Raw genomic sequence first — 19,609 nt, forward strand, 5'->3', positions numbered from 1 at the left:
TAATATAATCATTATATTAATGTGGTGAGAAGTAGGATTTAACTGTATACCTTGAGGAGTACATACATGGTAACAATTGTTCCAGATTTCTTCAGTAACTTAGTCTCAGAGTGCTCTTTTAAAAAGTTCTGAATAGATTTTCTTCTTGGAAATAATACTTTTTGAAAAGTGTAAACTTTGATATGTACTACATACCAAAAGAACAAGTAAAGGAAGCTTTGTTGTGTTTTAATGCAAACCACACAGTAAAGCTTTAATTTAATCACCTTAAAATTAGGGGAACAAACAGGAAGTGTTGTAATAATTGATTGTTTTTTCGTATTTACCTTAATAAATGCCTTGACCATAGTCCCAGTTTGGTACCAGATAAAGATATTTATACATGTAATATGCATCCTGTGTATAGATATCTTATGTATTCCATATGCTTTATTCTTGAGAATTTCTTCACTCTTATTTTCATTTAGACTAAGGAGAAATCAAGAAAGCCTATTTCCTTAGTCATCTTAGTCATTATCCACCCCCACCAGCCCTGCAGGCTAAGAACATCGTGCAGACTGAGTTATTAAAGTTGATCTGAAAGAGCAATCTGTTCTAAATGACTGTCCCTGGATCTGCAACGGAACCCTGTAAATACCCTTCATTACTCTGGCGGGGCAGTATCACATTTCCTTCATGGCACTTTTGTGTCTGACACAAGTTAGGCAGTGAGATTTGGACTTTAGATGATCCTGGTTGATTGATATAGGAATGGTGCTTCTCCTGAGACAGGTAACCACAAATTTACTTCTCAGGATAATGTTTTAAAGTGGGTGTTCTGTTTAGTTTTTAAAAATGTTTTTAGTTTTTAAAACTAAGTGGGTTTTGAACTTTTAGTTTTTTTTTTTAATGTTTTTAGTTTTCCCAGGCAAGCATTTTCAGTAGTTTAGATGAAAAAGAAATTTCTTAGTGATTTCATTGTCTTTTTCAATTATATTGTTGTCATGCCTTTTATATAAGATCTTTTATAATCCACCACCCATCTATTGTTTTGGATAGTCAAGAACTTGTCTTTGCTGTGAAAATTTTTCTCATTAAAAATGGCTAAAAAATACATACTTTCTCTGTTTTTCAAAAATACGGCATAGAGGTTTTGTTTAGTTTTTTCATCTGATACTGGATATGTCAAGATGAATCTATGAACTTCAAGCAAAACTTATTGAAGCTTTGGTATATGTGAGTAATTTGTTTTAGAGAACTGGAGCCTATAGCGATATAAAAAAATAGCAAATGCAAACATTTTATATGAATCTACTAGCATGGAAATTCTCCCATGCTTACCGTCCAAGTGAAGACTTCCTCTGCCATAGAACTTCCAGATTCCTTGGCATTCCTGTGGATCATCCCAATGTGAGTAAATTGTTTCTGTGGCTGACTGACTGAATTAAGAAAACAGCTGAAGGCAAGCACAGGATCGTGTTCAAACCACAAGAAACACATGTGTTGGATGAGCCACTCAACTTTATGGGGAAGGCTTAAGACATGTAACCAACCTTGTGTTTGCTTGCCACTTAACAAAGTTTGTTTTTAACTATGTTGGGCATTAGAAAGTTTTAAAGATTATTTTTTGTATCAATAAACTCTGATGAAATCTTGAACTAGTAGGTTTGTGATATAATGTTTATACAATTACAACTGAAGATAAGCAAGGCAGGAGCTGGGTTATTTGGAAGCAGAAATTAGTTTTTAAAAACTAAAATCTAAAATATGTTTGATGTACTATAACCAGAGTGTTCACAATTACTAAATATTATTTATTTAAAACATTTATATTCAGCTTTTTTTCAAAGAGCTCAAAAATTGTGTATGGTATCTGTATTTGAAAATGTTGCAGTAAAAATGAAAAGAGAAAGATGACTGCCATTCAGAATGTCTTTGGCTTCTCTTTTCTTTTTTTTTTTTTTTTTTTGAGACAGTCTTGCTGTGTCACCCAGTCTGGAGTGCAATGGCACCATCTCGGCTCACTGCAACCTCTGCCTCCCAGGTTCAAGAGACTCTCCTGCCTCAGCCTCCCAAGGAGCTGGGACTACAGGCATGCACCTCTACGCCCTGCTAATTTTTTTTTTTTTTTGTATTTTTAGTAGAGATGGGGTTTCGCTACGTTGCCCAGGCTGGTCTCAAACTCCTGAGCTCAGGCGATCCGCCTGCCTCAACCTCCCAAAGTGCTAGGATTACAGGCGTGATCCCCCGCGCCCGGCCGGCTTCTTTTTTCTGTAACTCTTCTTTTGCATTTTAAACCTACTTTAATTCTTCATATAGATTCCTAATTTCACTGCCCAACCAGCTTTATTCTACCTTTTAGTATGAGTCTCCTTCAACCTTAGTATTCTATACCTGGGTGAAAGGTAGAATACCAGGCTTATCATGGCAGTTTGCAGGAAAGTAAAAATGTGTTTACTTATAGTGTGTTTAAACATTGCCTTTACTAGCCACCTGAAATAGAGGTTCTATTCTCCCATGGGAGAGACCTACCCAAGACCCAGCAGCACTTAACATTGATTACGGCTTAAGATCTGAGTGGGATAGTGGAGGAAGATCCTCTTTTTAAATAAAAAGAAATTGTTGGCATATCCACATAAATAGAATATGCAGAAGGACAATTAAGTGGTCTTGACATTAGTATCAGCACAAGATTAGGTAAGAGAAAAAATAAATCTGTACATTGAAGCTCTGGGTTACTGTGGTAATGAGAATAACCTGTACAGATAATTCATTTCCTCCTGTATCCTCTTCTCTCCTCAATACCAGTTATTTCAATCTGAATTATTTAAAAGTGTTCTTCATCTTTTTTTGCCTGTGTAAGCATAAAACCACATAAAAAAGGTGTAATTAAACCTCCAATGTGATCACAATAAGCAAAGAAATTTTATATCTGTTCAATGTACTATCAATAGTCTCACGATGACTGAAGAGGATAAAGATCTCTTCGTAAATTCCACGAGGTCAGAAATTTTTGTGTATTTTGTGCACTGTTTTATACTCAGTACCTGGTACACAGTAGGCATTACGAAAATAATTATCAAATGAATGAATGACTAGGAAGAAACCCTATAAGCAGTTGTATGACTTAATTAAGAAAGCTAGATTTAAACCAATGTGTTTCATGCTATCAGAATCTAAGAATGATCTTTTTAAAGAATAATAACCATCATTTAAGTCTGAATTTTCAAAGTCCTGTCTTCTACCATGATTGATAATGTTATAGCATCATTTAATCTATACTAAGCAATCAGGTTAACTTTTTTCAAGTTTATTTATTTATTTATTTTTAATTTTATTATTTTTTTTGAGACAGAGTTTCGCTCTGTCCCCCTTGTTGGAATGCAGTAGCGTGATCTCGGCTCACCGCAACCTCTACCTCCCCGGTTCAAGTGATTCTCCTGCCGCAGCCTCCTGAGTAGCTGATTTATAGGCATGCGCCACCAAACCTGGCTAATTTTTGTATATTTAGTGGAGACGGGGTTTCGCCATGTAGGCCAGCCTGGTCTTGAACTCCTGACCTCAGGTGATCTGCCCACATCAGCCTCCCAAAGTGCTGGGATTACAGGAGTGAGCCACTGCGCCCAGCCAAGGAATTTTTAACGTTAGTTACCTTGTCTGCTTTTGCTTAGCCTTTGGACGAACAATCCAAAAAAGCTCTCAGCTTTAAAACGTTAGACCTTAGCTTCAGGTTGGCTTTTCATAGCCAAATGTCCTAAAATGTATCAGTGATTTAATGAGAGTAAATTTCCTATTGATTAAAATTAAAGATCTTAAAAATTAAAATGAAGAGTTTTCATACATTTAAAAATAATGCCATTTTTTTGAATGATGAACTATGGTATAATGCATTTAGTGTTCATTCCAAACGTCAATCAATAAATAACATGGGCCTCTAGCTATAAGGGAAATTCTATAGGTAAAAGAACTGATTGACCCCCACCCCCATAGGTGCTGTCCTGCTATGGAATCCCTTTGCTCAGTTTTCTCCTGTCCAATCAGGTGGAATGTTTCACAGGCACATGGTTTATACAGCTCAAAATAACTTGGGACCTGTGAGCTGACAAATGCTCTGGCTCCGGTGGTGACAGGTTGTCCAGCTTCTTACAGCCATCTTCACTGAAACTAAGGTTAACTCCTCACTCTCTATGGACGGCTACTCTCTATTTCCAAGGGCGTGAAGAATTTCCCTCTTCTCCTGTGCTTTCATCTAAAAGTTCTCCCTGGATAATTATCATTGCAGTGGAGTGCCTGGATTGGACATCCTCATCTGGGTCAACTAAAAAAAGAAAGGTAATATCCAGATTTAAGTTCACAAGTGTGTTTTGATAACAGGGCACTGACAGTGGAAAAGCGAATATTTCAAAGAACTCATTACTGTTACTTGAAATGAAACCTAGGATAACTGTCTAATTACATATGACGGGACACGAAATTAAGTGAAAAATAAAGCTTTCCACATGTAAAGATTTTGGAGGGGATTGATGAGACTCACAGAGATCACAGACTACTTGAGTTCCTAAGGAAAAATATCTCAACAGAAGAAGTTGTGACATGTTGCATATCTCATTGGCATTTTCCACACATTCATTTATTAAAAGAATGTTGTTTATATAGAGAATATGTAAGCAATGCCAGTTTCCTTTTTAAAGGAAGTTGAATCTAAAATAATATGCCTGCATAAAGACTTTCATTTTAAATTTTTTTATCATGTAAAAGGATACGCTTGCTATATTTAGTGTTGGGAGATCTGCTCCCTGGATTAATGTACACAACAGCTGCAGAAAGTCTTGCTCAAGGGACATTGCTCTTTCTTTCTCCTTTCTCTCTCTCTCTCTCTCTCCGTCTCTTTCTCTCTCTCCCTTTTCAGCTGCATCAGAAAGACACTTGACAGTCAGTGGCAAATGTTTGGCCTGGTACATTGCACTATTAGCAGTAATAGATGCACATCTTGAGTTAAATTTTAAAAACTGTATAAGCAAAGACAGAGAAAAGATGGATTATTATGTATTTCCAGTCCTCAAAAGTGAACATTACAGTAATGGTGTTAAGGAATTTTAGTAACTTATCAACAGATTTTTATATGCTTATTAAAGATATTAACATCAGCTTGAAAGAAACAACACAGTCATCCAGTTTTCTTTCTCAAAAAAGTATGATTCAATTACTTTTACTTTAGTAATAATGAAATGAATCCTACAAACACTAAATTAAAAATTTGTCATAACTTTATAGTCTCTCCTTAATAATAACAGCTCTTGAGTTCACATAAAATTCATAATCCTTTTCTAGGAAATTGAGAATGTCTATACTTACAGCTATCATAAACATATTTTTTAAAACAGAAAATAAGATATACTGTCCGACACATGATTTGACAACAAGCAAAATATTTAAAATCAAGGCCATCCCAAGAAATCTGAAATATATGGATAATATACTTACAGAGGTGTCAAGAGATAAAATTATAGGCCTTACAGAATCTTATAATAATGGACTATGAAACAAACAGTTGAACACTATCCAAATTCTGGAAGTGTGTCTCTATCCCCACTTATAGTATATGGCTAATGCTACTGGAACTCATAATAATGTGTTAAAACCCCAGTCTTCCATATATCTACAATTTATAATATAGACACTACTACAATATGCTTACAAAGGCACTTTCAGTAGAACAGACACAGAACCACAATTTATGGACACAAGAAGTTGAATGAGTTTTTGTCCAAGCTGGTTTTGGAATTCATAGTGGTAGTTTTTGCAAATTTGCTTTTGAACATATGAGACAACAGGTAAATCAGGTTCCATTTTGAAAGGGTTTTAATGAACTAATGTTGGTATGTGAAAAAGTGAGAGTTCAATTTTTCAACAGTTAGTTCCTACACGTAATAGGAATAGTAGACTCAGTTCACTAACCTGAAAATATAAGTCAAATGCTCCTGCCAACCCTAGAACAATTAATTTTTTTTTCATTCACATTGAGATTTGACAAAGATGTTGCTGGTCTCATGGTGTTAGATAACAAGATAGAAAAATGAAAGGGTTTTCTTAACAGGTTTTCCCCTCTCCTAGGGGATGATATTTTTTAAAATATCTCTGTGGTGCTTCATGGTTGACCAAATGCTTTTAAAACTACTATAACATTACCCATTTGCTTAAAGGGAACAACTTAGGTAGAGACTAAATGGTCTGTTTAGAAATTTAAGAACAATTTCAGCAGATATATTTTTGGTGGGAACAAAGGTTGGTGGGACTATTTACCTGCAGTAGCTATAGAGTTCTCAGAGTTCATGTATAACCAGAGTCACCTTGACAAGCTCTGTGCAGGCTCCCTGCTACGGAGACCTCCACTCGGAGTCACAGTGCACTCCACTCTCAGGGAGGGGCCCAATAGAGCCTCCCAACAAAGTGCTTGAACTAGAACTTGATCTTGAGATCCCTTGGGACACCTACTGCTCTCTCAATCTAGCAAATGTATTATGTCAATTTAATTAGGGAAGTTAGCTTTTTTCAAATCCTTAATTACCTTAAAAATGACACAAATAGTAAGAAGCTGAAGAAGAATGAAAGTGTTAAATTTTTGCATTTAAAAAATAAATATTTGAGTTGATAGGGATTGACGAAGTTTTCCCATTTGGGATTTCCTTTATAACAGTTTGGTTCATTATGAATGGTGAGATCTTGAGAGTGATATAAAACCTCCTATGCCTATCACTTTTGTGACAACCACCAAACCCTTTTTCTTTTTTGATCCTAGATTCTTGAAGTCTTCTTGATTGCCTTCCATGAGACTTTCTATGGGCCATAGGATTTATTTTTTACAATATTTCTTCTCTGTCTTTCAGATTAAATAGTACCTTTGAGCTCTGGCTGCAGTGTCTTTCACTAGCGCTTCCCTACATGTTTGTCATCCTCTGGATACAAAAACATACATAATACGCTTCGTAGGAGCCAGTCTTTTTTCTCCCACTCAAACGAAATCTTTACTTTCTTTCCTACATTCTTACTTTTACCAATTCGATTAAAATAATAATAAGAAAATGGCCTACTCACCTTTGGCTTATTATCTAAAAGTCTTCATTACTTAACCTCTGCCCTTAAAGGAATGTCCCTAAACGGATTCTCATTAATTCCCTGATGGATCATCTCTGCTCGGCCTCTTTATCTCAACATTCTTTTCTGATGTATGCATTTGTCTGTATTTATCTTTTCTTCTTTCAAACTGAAAAATTTTTGAGATAATGTGTCTTATATGATTTCCATATTATTATTGACATATCATTTCCATATTCCTCAAGTTCTTACTCTGGTAATGCAGTATATACTAATTTATTAAATTACTAATGCCGTTCACACGAAAAATAGACTAGAAATAAAAGTAAGATGGGGATGATCACTGTGATAGTGAAGGGATGGATATTGTAATAGTGTACCAAGTACACTCCATCTGCACCCAGATTTTAAAAAGGTGATCTGTACATAACTCTCCAGGACTGGTTCCCGTTCACTGGGATTTGGTTTTTGACCCAGCAAGAACTTCTCCAAAAGAACTGACTTAGATACTTCTCTAGGGTGATATCATTGGATATAGAAGGCAAAACCAACAGGTCAATACTGGCATTAAAAAGAGGGAGCAAAGTCTATTTTTTCTTTCCCTAAAAAGCATTCTGGGCATATTAATTACACATCACCAGCAAAAGGTCACCTCAAATTTGCATAGTGCTCTACAGTTTTAAAGTGTTTTCACAAACAGACCTATGAAATGAGTAGGGTAGTTCTGCTCATCCCTGTTTTAGATGAGTTACTTAAACATATTTATCTTTTCCTATCCTGGCTCTCTTTACAAATAATTATTAACTATTAGGCTATTTTTGGGCCTGCCTCTAAACCAGATTTAGGTTACTTAGGAGTTCTTTGGTTTTTTCATGAATGTGCTTCCCACATTATAAGGAATGTAGAGCAGTGTTTAAAGACACATGTAGCTAGGTGCGGTGGCTCATGCCTGTAATCCCAGCACTTTGGGAGGCCAAGGTGGGTGGATCACTTGAGCCCAGGAGTTGGAGACCAGCCTGAGCAACATAGGAAGACTCCATCTCTACAACCAATTTTAAAAGTTATCTGGGCATGGTAGAAAGCACCTGTAGTCCTAGCTACTTGGGAGGCTGAGGTGGGAGGATTGCTTGAGCCCCAAAGCTCAAGGCTGCAGTGAGCCATGACTGCACCACTATACCCCAGCCTGGGTGACAGAGTGAGATCTTGCCTCAAAAAAAAAAAAAAGACACATTTAAAAAAATAATAAATTCGTTTTTTTCAGCTTTATGAAGGTTTAATTGACAAATTAAAAATTGTATATATTTGTGGTGTACAAGGTAATGTTTTGCTGTATGTATACATTTTGCAACGATTAAATCAAGCTAATTAATATATCCATAGCCTCACATACTTACCACTTTTTTGTGTGGTGAGAAAATTGAAGCTCTACTCTTTTAGTAATATTCAAGAATACATTACATTATTACTAACTATAGTCCCCATGCTGTACAGCAAGACTCCATAATTTATTCCTTCTCCTGTGTAACTGGAACTTTGTACCCTTTGACCAACATCTCGGCATTCCTCACACCCAGATTTGTTTTCTCATTTAAGTATCTAATACTTCACAATCAGAATACTTCACTATTTATGTTTGAATTCAAGTTACTTCATACTAGTTTTTGCCAATTCTCTGGTCAATGCCCCAGCTTAAATTTTCATATTATAACTAAAAAATGAGTTTATTCCATGTATTTCCAACAACAGGGTCTTCTTAGAGCCTGAAGAAGGATAGCACCGAGTTAACATGAGTTGAAAAACATGTCCAAAGGTATCAGCCTCAAACTTTTGTTTTTATGAACCTGACTCTCTTTTTTTTTTCTTTTTTTTTTTTTTGACGGAGTCTTGCTCTTTTGCCCAGACTGGAGTGTGGAATGCAGTGGCACAATCTCGGCTCACTGCAACTTTTGCCTCCTAGGTTCAAGCGATTCTCCTGTCTCAGCCTCCCAGGTAACTGGGATTACAGGCACCTGCCACCACGTCCAGCTAATTTTTGTACTTTTAGTAGAGACAGGGTTTCACCATGTTGACCAGGCTGGTCTCGAACACCTGACCTCAAGTGATCTGCCTGGCTCGGCCTCCCAAAGTGCAGGGATTACAGGCATGAGCCACTGTGCCCCACCATAAACCTGACTCAACATTTTCAGAAAGTTCTTAGGGCAGATCCTCTTTTCTGGAAAAGTCCTAGGGAAAAAAATAGAGATATTTAGGAAAGTAAAGGAAGTAAAATAAGCTGTCTATGTTGCCAAATTATTTTACGTGATTTGCTAAAGTCTATCTTGATGTTTGATGCCACATTAATTGTTTCATTTCCAATCTGGTGCCATTTCATCAATGCCATGATCTGTTTTCAAGGGTAATTACTCATTCTTATTTTGAAAGTGGGAAAAAAAATCTAATTTTCCATTTTGTGAGAAACAGAAAAGAGGAAACAAACTCAAATATCACTGTGACGGGGCATGGTGGCTCACGCCTGTAATCCCAGCACTTTGGGAGGCTGAGGCAGGTGGATTACTTGAAGTCAGGAGTTTGAAACCAGCCTGGATAACTTGGTGAAACCCTATCTCTACTAAAAACACAAAAATTAGCCAGGGGTGGTGGCACGCGCCTGGAATCCCAGCTACTCAGGAGGCTGAGGCAGGTGAGTTGCTTGAACCCAGGAGGCAGAGGTTGCAGTGAGCGGAAATTGCACCACTGCAATCCAGCCTGGGCGACAAAGTGAAACTCCATCTCAAAAAAAAAAAAAAAAAAAAAAGTCAAATGACACTCTGAATACTGCAGCTGAAATGTCTAAGAGAACTTACGATTTTCTTTCCTGAAACCTGCTCCTGCCTCATCCCAGCAAATGATTTTGCTAATGACCTAGTTGCTCAGGGCATAAATATTGGAGTAATTCTTGACTGCTCTTTCTTTCACATCCCACTTTTAATCCATCAGCAAACCGCATTGGCTCTACTTTTAAAGACATCTCAAATACGAGCATTTCTGGCCATCTCCCATGGCTACCGCTCATTGGTCCAAGCCACCATCATCCCTTGTGTAGCATGTTGCAATTGCCTCCTAACTGATCTGCTCACTTCTACTGTTACTTCCTTCAGTTTGATTCTTTGCATAGCAGCCATGATGGAACTTTTTCAAAACCATGCCATCTGCTTCTCAAAACCTTTAAGTGGTTTCCCTTCACACGTTTAATAAAATTTGAAGTCCTTTCCATGGTCTGCAAGACCTTAAATGATCTGGCCTTGAACCTTTCTGCCCTCATTTTCTTTGGCTCTTCTTTTTCACGCACTTCTTCGCTCACTGGGCTTGACTTAAACATACAAAACACTCACCTCTTCAGGCTTTGATGCTTACTTCTACCTCTGTCAGGAACATTTTTTTTTACCAGATGGTCACATGAGTAACTTCTCCACTGCATTATAAGCTTTGCTTGACTTTGCTAGCTAAAATAACACACTTTGTTTCCTCCTCCATTATTCTCAATCCCCCTTTTCTATTTTATTTTTCTTCCCAACATTAATATTTTCCCTACTAGAATGTCAGTTCCATTAGGATAGAGACTTTGTCTTTTGTTCACCACTGAATCCACAGTGCCTAGAACAGTGCCTGGCACATAGTAGATGCTCAATAAATATTTATTGGATGAATAAATGAATTATAGGGTACCTATAAGAGCACTTATGATTTTTTTTAAGTACAAATTTTATAATAGTTATAAAATTAATGCTTAAAATAGAAAGTTTTTAAATTAATGCTTAAAAAAATAATTTTCATATTTTTTATTTTGGCTAATATTTTATCAGTTTAACAATTTATATATGCATTTTCATCTGAGAATCCTCAAAGATAGAATTGTTGTCCTATTTGACAGATGAGGTTAACTGAGATTCAGATGCATTAAGTGACTTTCTCAAGAAAACAAAGTTATTTAGTGTTGGAGCTGGGATTCAAACCCAGGTTTCTGATTATAATCAGATGTTCTCTGATACTTCTGGTATGAAAGTAAAGCATTCCAGCCTGGTCAACATGGTGAAAACCCATCTCTACTGAAAATACAAAAATTAGCCGGGCATGGTGGCAGGTGCCTATAATCCCAGCCACTTGGGAGGCTGAGGCAGGAGAATCGCTTGAACACGGGAGACAGAGGCTGCAGTGAGCTGAGATCGTGCCATTGCACTTCAGTCTGGGCTATAAGAGCGAGAGTCTATCTCAAAAAAAAAGAAAGAAAAGAAAGAAAAAAGAAAACAAAGCATGATTTCAGTTATTTTATCCATCATAAATAAATTTTCACTTGAAAGTCATCTTAAAGTTATGACTGCCTTTACCAGTTTATAGTTTTTCTTTGTGTCTATAAGTTTTCTTTGACCTCCTTTATCTGTCCTATTTTATCCTACAATCAAAAGTGAAAGATAGGCCGGACATGGTGGCTCATACCTGTAATCCCAACACTTTGGGAGGCCGAGGCAGGTGGATCACTCGAGGTCAGGAGTTCAAGACCATCCAGACTGATCAACATGGTGAAACCCTGTCTCTACTAAAAATACAAAAATTAGCCAGGCATGGTGGCACATGCCTGTAATCCCAGCTACTTGGGAGGCTGAGGCAGGAGAATCGCTTGAACGTGAGAGGTGGAGGTTGCAGTGAGCCGACATCGCACCATTGCACTCCAGCCTGGGCAACAAGAGCGAAACTCTGTCTTAAAAAAAAAAAAAAAGTGAAAGCTAATAGTAGAGTTAGCAGAAAATTCTAATGAACACATAAATTCAAAAAAAAAAATTTATTGACCACCTTCTATGTGCTATGTGGGTGCAGAGACGATGGTGTACAAAACATAGTGAAGGAGACAGAGAAGAAAATACACTTCATATATTGTGATAAGTACTGTGTTTGGAGACTGTGTCAAGGACAGTGAGCTTTGGGAGCACATTGGAGAGGTACCCAACTCAGGGAAGAGAAGAAATCCCAGGGCAGTGATGTCTCAGCTAGGAACCAAAGACCATGTAGGATTAGGCCTGATAGGATAGTGAAAAGAGGTGGGCACAGGAAGCAGTCCAAGCAAAGAGAATACAAAGATCTGAAGTCAACACAGTTAATTCATGAGACTGTATTTCAATAGAATACAGATACACTGAATTAACTATGAATGTAGACTTTGGTTTTTCTTCAAATTTTTCCTCGGATCAAGCCACTTCACTAGTTCTGCCTCCATTTCTTATCTATAAAATGGAGGCCATGATACATGGCCATAGCTGTTAAATAATAATAATAATTATTATTATTATAGTAATAGTAACTTCCATTTATTGAATGTTTACTAAATCCCAAGCACATTTAATCATCACTTCTACCTATGATATGGCTACTACTATTATATCTGTTTTACAGATGAGTAAACTGAGGCATATAGAGTTTAAACTTTCCCAAGTTTATACGAGGATATTAGGAAGTGTCAGAACTAGGATTTGAACCCAGTTCTATCTAATGCCAAAGTACTAGGTCATAAGTACTACATTAAAACATTAAAGAAATCTTTATTTTGAATACCTGAAAGTTTTGTTGTAATAATTTATCATAACCATAAACATAAGAACAGGTACATTAACACCTCAATTGGCTTCTTTTCTTAAAAAAAAACTTATCTAAGAATTTTATTTTCTATTTCCACCACAAATATAAACTTTTTTAAAGTTCTTCAACTTTAACATCACCTTCACCAAAGCATTGTTTTTTACAAACATCAGTTGAATACCCATTATAGTGGCAAGCCCTATTTTAAGGACTTTGCCTTTGATGTTATTAATCCTTACTCCCCTGGGAAATAGATTTTTTCATGTTTTACAGATGAAGAAACCAAAGCTCAAATAAGTTAACTTCTCAGAGTTACATAATTGTTACGAGATGAAGCAGAATTTGGAATTAGATCTATCTGGTACCAAGGCCAATGCTCATTCCATGTTGCCTCAGTATAAAAGCTATCTCAAAATAAAGAGTAAAAGACAAAGTCACATTAAAACACAATATACAGGCTAGGCACGATGCCTCATGCCTGTAATCCCAGAGCTTTGGGAGATGGAGGTGGGAGGATCACTTGAGGTTCTTTGAGTTGGAGACCAGCCTGGGCAACATAGAGAGACCTCGTTCCTACAGAAAATTTAAATATTAGCCAGGTGTGGTGGTGCGTGGCTGTAGTCCCAGCTACTTGGGAGGTTGAGGAGGGAGAATTGCTTGAATCCAGGAGTTTAAGGCTACAGTGAGCTATGATCATGCCACTGTGCTCCATCCTGGGTGAGGGAGTGAGACCCTGTCAAGAAAGAAAGAGAGAAAGAGAGAGAGAGGGAGGGAAAAGAGTGATGAAGGAAGGAAGGAAGGAAGGAAGGAAGGAAGGAAGGAAGGAAGGAAGGAAATTTAAAAAACCACAATAAACAGTAATGTCCAATGAATAGAGAGAAAGCCATCCTGATTTATAAGGCACTTAATTTCCCCCCCATCTAAACAGAAACAGAAAATTAAACGAGGCTAAAGAAATAGTTGAGTTACAAATGAGGATTTTCGGTATATTAATTACATTTTCAAATAACATTTTGCACCTTATTTCATATATCTTTAACTGTTACTACATGTAGTTGGTGCACAAATGAGAAAGATTTTCAATTGGGGTATCAATTATACTTTCATATACTATTTTGTGTATTATTCACTGTTCCATGAAATTTAATAAATAGCCATATAGTTCTATTTAATGAGTAATAATTTAATTAACTAATTTCTTATTACTGAACATGGTTACAATTTTTAAATATTATCATGTGATAAACACCTTTGTAGACAAATCTTTGCCCTCCAACACCTTTGCATTTTATTTTATTTATTTATTTATTTATTTATTTATTTATTTATTTATTGAGACAGAGTTTTGCTCTTGTTGCCCAGGCTGGAGTGCAATGGTGCAATCTTGGCTCACAGCAACCTCCGCTTCCCAGGTTCAAGTAATTATCCTGTCTCAGCCTCCTGAGTAGCTGGAATTACAGGCGCCCACCACCACGCCCAGCTAATTTTTTGTATTTTTGGTAGAGACAGGGTTTCACCATGCTGCCCAGGCTGGTCTCAAACTCCTGACCTCAGGTGATCCACCCGCTTTGGCCTCCCAAAGTGCTGGGATCATAGGCGTGCGCCGCTGTGCCCTGTCACCTTTGCATTTTAAATTAATCTTTTTTAAAAGGCATCATAGACTTCATCCAAATAAGTAGCTCTAGTACGGGCAATCTCAGTCTGTGGCAAGTAGGTGGGAAAAATATTTTACTGTGGATGGTCCTTTCAGTCATCTCTAATTGCTTCTCAAGGTGGCTGCCTACTTTGCCAAATCAGAGGTTAGTTTGGGATAGCATTCTAGAAGTTTGGGAACTGGGACAGTTCCTAGGAAGCCTTTCGTGTGATATAAGTGATGCTGTCATATAAGAGAATGGAAAGAAATCAACTGAAGTAAGTTCTATTATAGGATGTTAAAGCCAGAAAATATTTAGAAGATTACTTTTTTCTCCACTTTCCCACACAGTAGCCAAGAATGGCAAATAGTCTTCATCTCCATTGCCATCTCTGATTGGTGATGGCTGAAGGAGTGGAGTGTTAGGAAAGTCAAGGTCAAGGGGAAAGTACAGTAATCACTGAGCTGCAGCTTTTAAGGATGAGAGAGAGTAGTGACAGCCTAAGTCACAAATTTGCCATCCTTTAGTAAATGTTTGAATGAATAAATGGATATAATATTAAAAATACAAAATTGGCTTGCATTATTATATTACTTTCTTAAGACTTTAAAAATATTTATTTTTTGAATAGGTAATATCATATAATTAAAATTCAAAAGTTAGGAAGAACACAGAGCGAAGTCTCCTGCCAAGCATCATATTCCATTATATCTCATTTCCCCTCTTAACCAAAGTTAATTTAAGATTTTTTAAAAACCTAGGCTCTAACTCATATCTTTGTAGCCTAATATGAAGAAGCTAAATCATCATAGTTTTCAAGAACAGGTTGAGCCTAATAACAACATTGAATTTAAACAGCTTGTCTCTAGCAAGCTTGTCAAAAAACAAAAGCATTGTTTACTTTCCATGAGCTAGCTAGATCAAGTTCATATTTTCAGTAACTAGGTGAGATTATGTTGTCAATATCTTTCAATTTCTATAATTCTATTACATTCAAGGTAAAGAGGAGAGGGTGGAGAGCAAATCTCTGTGTATGAAAGCACTGTATAACTAAAAGACCATTATCGACATTATCAATATCAGGCTTAGAAATGTTATTTAATATTATTACAGTTATGTCATGGCCTTCACAACTGAACTTGCCTTTAAAGAGTTTAATAAAGTGGTAATCATCCAGGTCTTTATTTTCAATTTCAGGGAAATTTCATTCTGTTCTTATTTATTTCATAATTTGAGAGTAATATTTAAGTCTTTAAAGTTTGTAAAAGGGGGAGGGCACAGTGGCTCACCCCTATAATCCCAGCACTTTGGAAGGCTGAGGTGAGCGGATCACCTGAGCCCAGGAGCTCGAGACCAGCCTGGGCAACAGGCAAAAACCTTGTCTTGCAAAAAATACAAAAATCAGCTGGGTGTGGTGGCACATGCCTGTAGTCCCAGCTACGTGCAAGGGTGAGGTGGGAGGATTGCTTGAGCCCATGAGGTGGAGGTTGCAGTGAGCCGAGATTGCATCACTGCACTCCAGCCTGGGTGACAAAGTGAGACCTTCTCTCAAAAATAAATAAATTAATTAAAAGTTTGTAAAAGTATTAAAATTAGGCAATTCTTTATTTTGAGCTTTAATTTCTAACGAGTCTGCAGTGCTATAATAGACATAGACTTGTTATTCCCTAGAAATGATCCAAACTTTTTGTTATTATTATTTTGTGACAGCATGCAAGACGACAGCATAGAAGCTTCTACTTCCATATCTCAGCTTCTAAGAGAGAGCTATTTAGCTGAAACCAGACATCGGGGAAACAATGAGAGGAGTCGAGCGGAGCCCTCCTCCAACCCTTGCCATTTCGGCAGTCCTTCTGGGGCCGCTGAAGGAGGCGGAGGCCAAGATGACCTTCCAGATCTTTCAGCCTTTCTGAGCCAAGAAGAATTAGACGAAAGTGTCAATTTGGCAAGACTGGCCATCAATTACGACCCTTTGGAGAAGGCAGATGAAACTCAAGCTAGAAAACGACTTTCTCCTGATCAGATGAAACACTCACCTAATTTAAGTTTTGAGCCTAACTTCTGCCAGGATAACCCTCGAAGTCCCACCAGCTCTAAAGAAAGCCCCCAGGAGGCAAAAAGGCCACAGTATTGTTCTGAAACCCAGTCCAAAAAAGTATTTTTAAATAAGGCTGCCGACTTCATTGAAGAGCTATCCTCCCTTTTCAAATCCCACAGCTCCAAAAGGATTAGACCTCGTGCCTGCAAAAACCACAAGAGTAAACTGGAATCTCAAAACAAAGTTATGCAGGAAAACAGCTCCAGTTTCTCAGATCTGTCAGAAAGACGAGAAAGATCTTCTGTTCCCATCCCTATCCCTGCGGATACCAGGGATAATGAAGTGAATCACGCCCTGGAACAGCAGGAAGCCAAGAGGCGTGAAGCGGAGCAGGCTGCCAGTGAGGCGGCTGGTGGAGACACTACACCAGGGTCTTCCCCTTCATCTCTGTACTATGAAGAACCTCTGGGGCAACCTCCCCGGTTCACTCAAAAGTTACGGAGCAGAGAAGTTCCAGAAGGAACTCGAGTACAGTTGGATTGCATAGTGGTAGGAATTCCACCACCTCAAGTAAGGTAAAAATGTCCCATTGGTAATGCTGAGTAATGTTGCTTTCCATCTACCATGACCCTCCCAAGTATTATCATTTAAGCACCTGGTTTACAAAATTATATACTCCCTTTGAGAAAAGTAGTCGGTATCTAAAGCAGCTTGGTCCAATAGAAATGTAAACCTAGTCACGTATGTAGTTTTAATTTCTCTAGTAGCTACATTTTTAAAAACTAAAAAGAACCAGGTGAAATTAAAGTTAATAACATACATTATTTAACTAACATATTAAAAACATTATCGTAGGCTGGGCGCAGTGGCTCACGCCTGTAATCTCAGCATTTTGGGAGGTCAAGGCCAGCCGATCACCTGAGGTCGGGAGCTCGAGACCAGCCTGACCAAAATGGAGAAATCCCATCTCTACTAAAAACACAAAAATTAGCCGGGCGTGGTGGTATGCGCCTGTAATCCCAGCTACTCCGGAGGCTGAGGCAGGAAAATCGCTTGAACCCGGGAGACGGAGGTTGCGGTGAGCCGAGATCGCGCCACTGCTCTCCAGCCCGGGCAACAAGAGCGAAACTCAGTCTCAAAAATAAATAAATAAAATAAAATAAAATAAAACATTATCATTCAACATATAACCAATATAAGAATTATTAATAAGATATTTTACATTATTTTTATTATACCAGGGATTTGAAACTCGGCGTGAATTCTACACTGACAGCATATTTCAATTTGGATGTTAAATTTTCCTAGGGAATACAACCTTCATTTTGGCCGGGCGCAGTGGCTCCAGCGTATAATCCCAGCACTTTGGGAGGCCGAGGCAGGCAGATCACTTGAGGTCAGGAGTTCAAGACCAGCCTGGCCAACAGGGCGAAACCCCATCTCTACTAAAAATACAAAAAAATTTAGCCGGGCGTGGTAACAGGCATCTGTAATGCCAACTATTCAGGTGGCTTAGGCAGAGAGAATTTCTTGAACTTGGGAGGCAGAGGTTGTAGTGAGCCGAGATCGCACCACTGCACTCCAGCCTGGGCTACAGAGCGGAGGCTCCATCTCAAAATGAGTAAATTAGGCCTGGCGCAGTGGCTCACGCCTGCAATCCCAGCACTTTGGGAGGCTGAGGCGGGCGGATCACGAGGTCAGGAGATCGAGACCATCCTGGCTAAAAAGGTGAAACCCGGTCTCTACTAAAAATACAAAAAAAAAAAAAAAATTAGCCAAGCATGGTGGCGGGCGCCTGTAGTCCCAGCTACTTGAGAGGCTGAGGCAGGAGACTGGCGTGAACCCGGGAGGCGGAACTTGCTGTAAGCCGAGCTTGCACCACTGCACTCCAGCCTGGGCGACAGAGCGAGACTCCTTCAATAAATAAATAAATAAATAAATAAATAAATAAATAAATAAGTATAATTAAAAATTCAGTTATTTAGTTGCACGAGCCACATTTCAAGTGCCCAGTAACTGCATGTGTCTAATGACTACAGTATTGGACAGCGCAGGGCTACAATTTATAGCCTAAAAAAGGTCTCTATGCAATGAATACCTGCAGTATTTTTTTAAACTTTAAAGAAACCCAAATAATAGCATAAAAACCTATAGAATTGGGCTGAGGCTAAAGTCAATTTAAAGATTCATTATACATGTATTAAATGTATTATACACTTTCCATGTCAGCTTCATGAAAGCTATGACTGATGGATAGAGAGGTTATTCATCTTTTATTTGCCTACCATGGTCAGCTTTTCTGTGAGGCAAATGCAGTGCAAGTTTCAGGACGCCTCACTTGACTAGGCTATACCTAATTTTGCATTCTAAGTTTATTTTACTTTTTAAAGGAGCCCTTCCACATTTATGAGCTTCAGGTCCCACAAAACCTGGAACCAGCGTTAGCCCCTAGGGTAACATGTCCTACTTTTGATTTTATAATGGAATAACATGTGAAAAATGTGGTTGAAGTGGATTACTTTTGTAGAGAATTCCTGGTATTTAGAGTCCTACAAGAGTTACTTTGTGTTTGTAACTACCTGATTATTACTAGAATATGATTTCATTACTATTTAACATTTATTCTCTGTATGTAAATAGGGCATCTGGGCATCATCTTTTTATTCCATAATATTCAATTATAGGACAATAGTAGTATTAATAATAGCATTTTTGTTTATATATAGGCATATTAATTCAAGGGATTCTGGCCCAAAGACATATTCATATATTGATTTTTGCTTTTCAAAGGCGACATAAGGCAATGCCAAATATTATTTCTACAGTGGCAGATACATTTGACTATTAGGTTATCCTGCTGACCTCCTTGAGGGCAGGGATTCTGTTGTTTTTACCTTTGTGTCTTGAGCACTGAGCACAGCTTTGGGCTCATGGTAGCCACTCAGAAATGTTGAATGAGCTAGTGGATAAAGAAACAGGAAAACAAGAAACTCAACTTAGATTTAAATCAGAAGTGAGACCGTTGGCCTAAGATGTAGCAAAGGGTTGGAACTGAAAAACACAGGGCGGTGTCTACTCTTCTGCTCTGAACGTGCCTGATGATACTCCCTGGGACTCTGGTTGGTAATGCTAGTGAGATGTCACTACAGCCCCATGACAGCTACTACTCAGCAGCATCTGGTCAGTCTAAGTAAGCTGGTGAGCACTCCAGTTGTGATATACACAAAACTTAGGTTAGTCCTGTCCAATCCATTAG

The 19,609-nt window shown here is 37.9% G+C and overlaps 1 protein-coding gene across 10 annotated transcripts in view; it reads left to right on the forward strand.

Annotated features, from left to right (window-relative positions):
• The window catches only part of MYPN (myopalladin), a 124,121-nt gene that overhangs the window by 17,516 nt on the left and 86,996 nt on the right, over window positions 1–19,609 (forward strand). For 2 of the 10 annotated variants that reach the window (NR_045663.4, NM_032578.4), the window contains exons 1-2: window positions 4,076–4,311; window positions 16,026–16,928. The exons of 2 other annotated variants lie outside the window; for them this stretch is intronic. Coding sequence is in view for 5 of the 8 variants with exons in the window: in NM_032578.4 (NP_115967.2) it covers window positions 16,027–16,928 (902 nt within the window). In the remaining 3 variants the exon portion in view is untranslated. Of the gene's footprint in view, window positions 1–594; window positions 1,390–4,075; window positions 4,312–8,820; window positions 8,885–16,025; window positions 16,929–19,609 lie in introns of those variants that run through there. 6 more of the 10 variants (XM_017016833.2, NM_001256267.2, NM_001256268.2 and 3 more) reach the window with 6 other exon arrangements.

The sequence above is a fragment of the Homo sapiens genome, chromosome 10, assembly GCF_000001405.40.
Source record: "Homo sapiens chromosome 10, GRCh38.p14 Primary Assembly".
Taxonomy (NCBI): domain Eukaryota; kingdom Metazoa; phylum Chordata; class Mammalia; order Primates; family Hominidae; genus Homo; species Homo sapiens.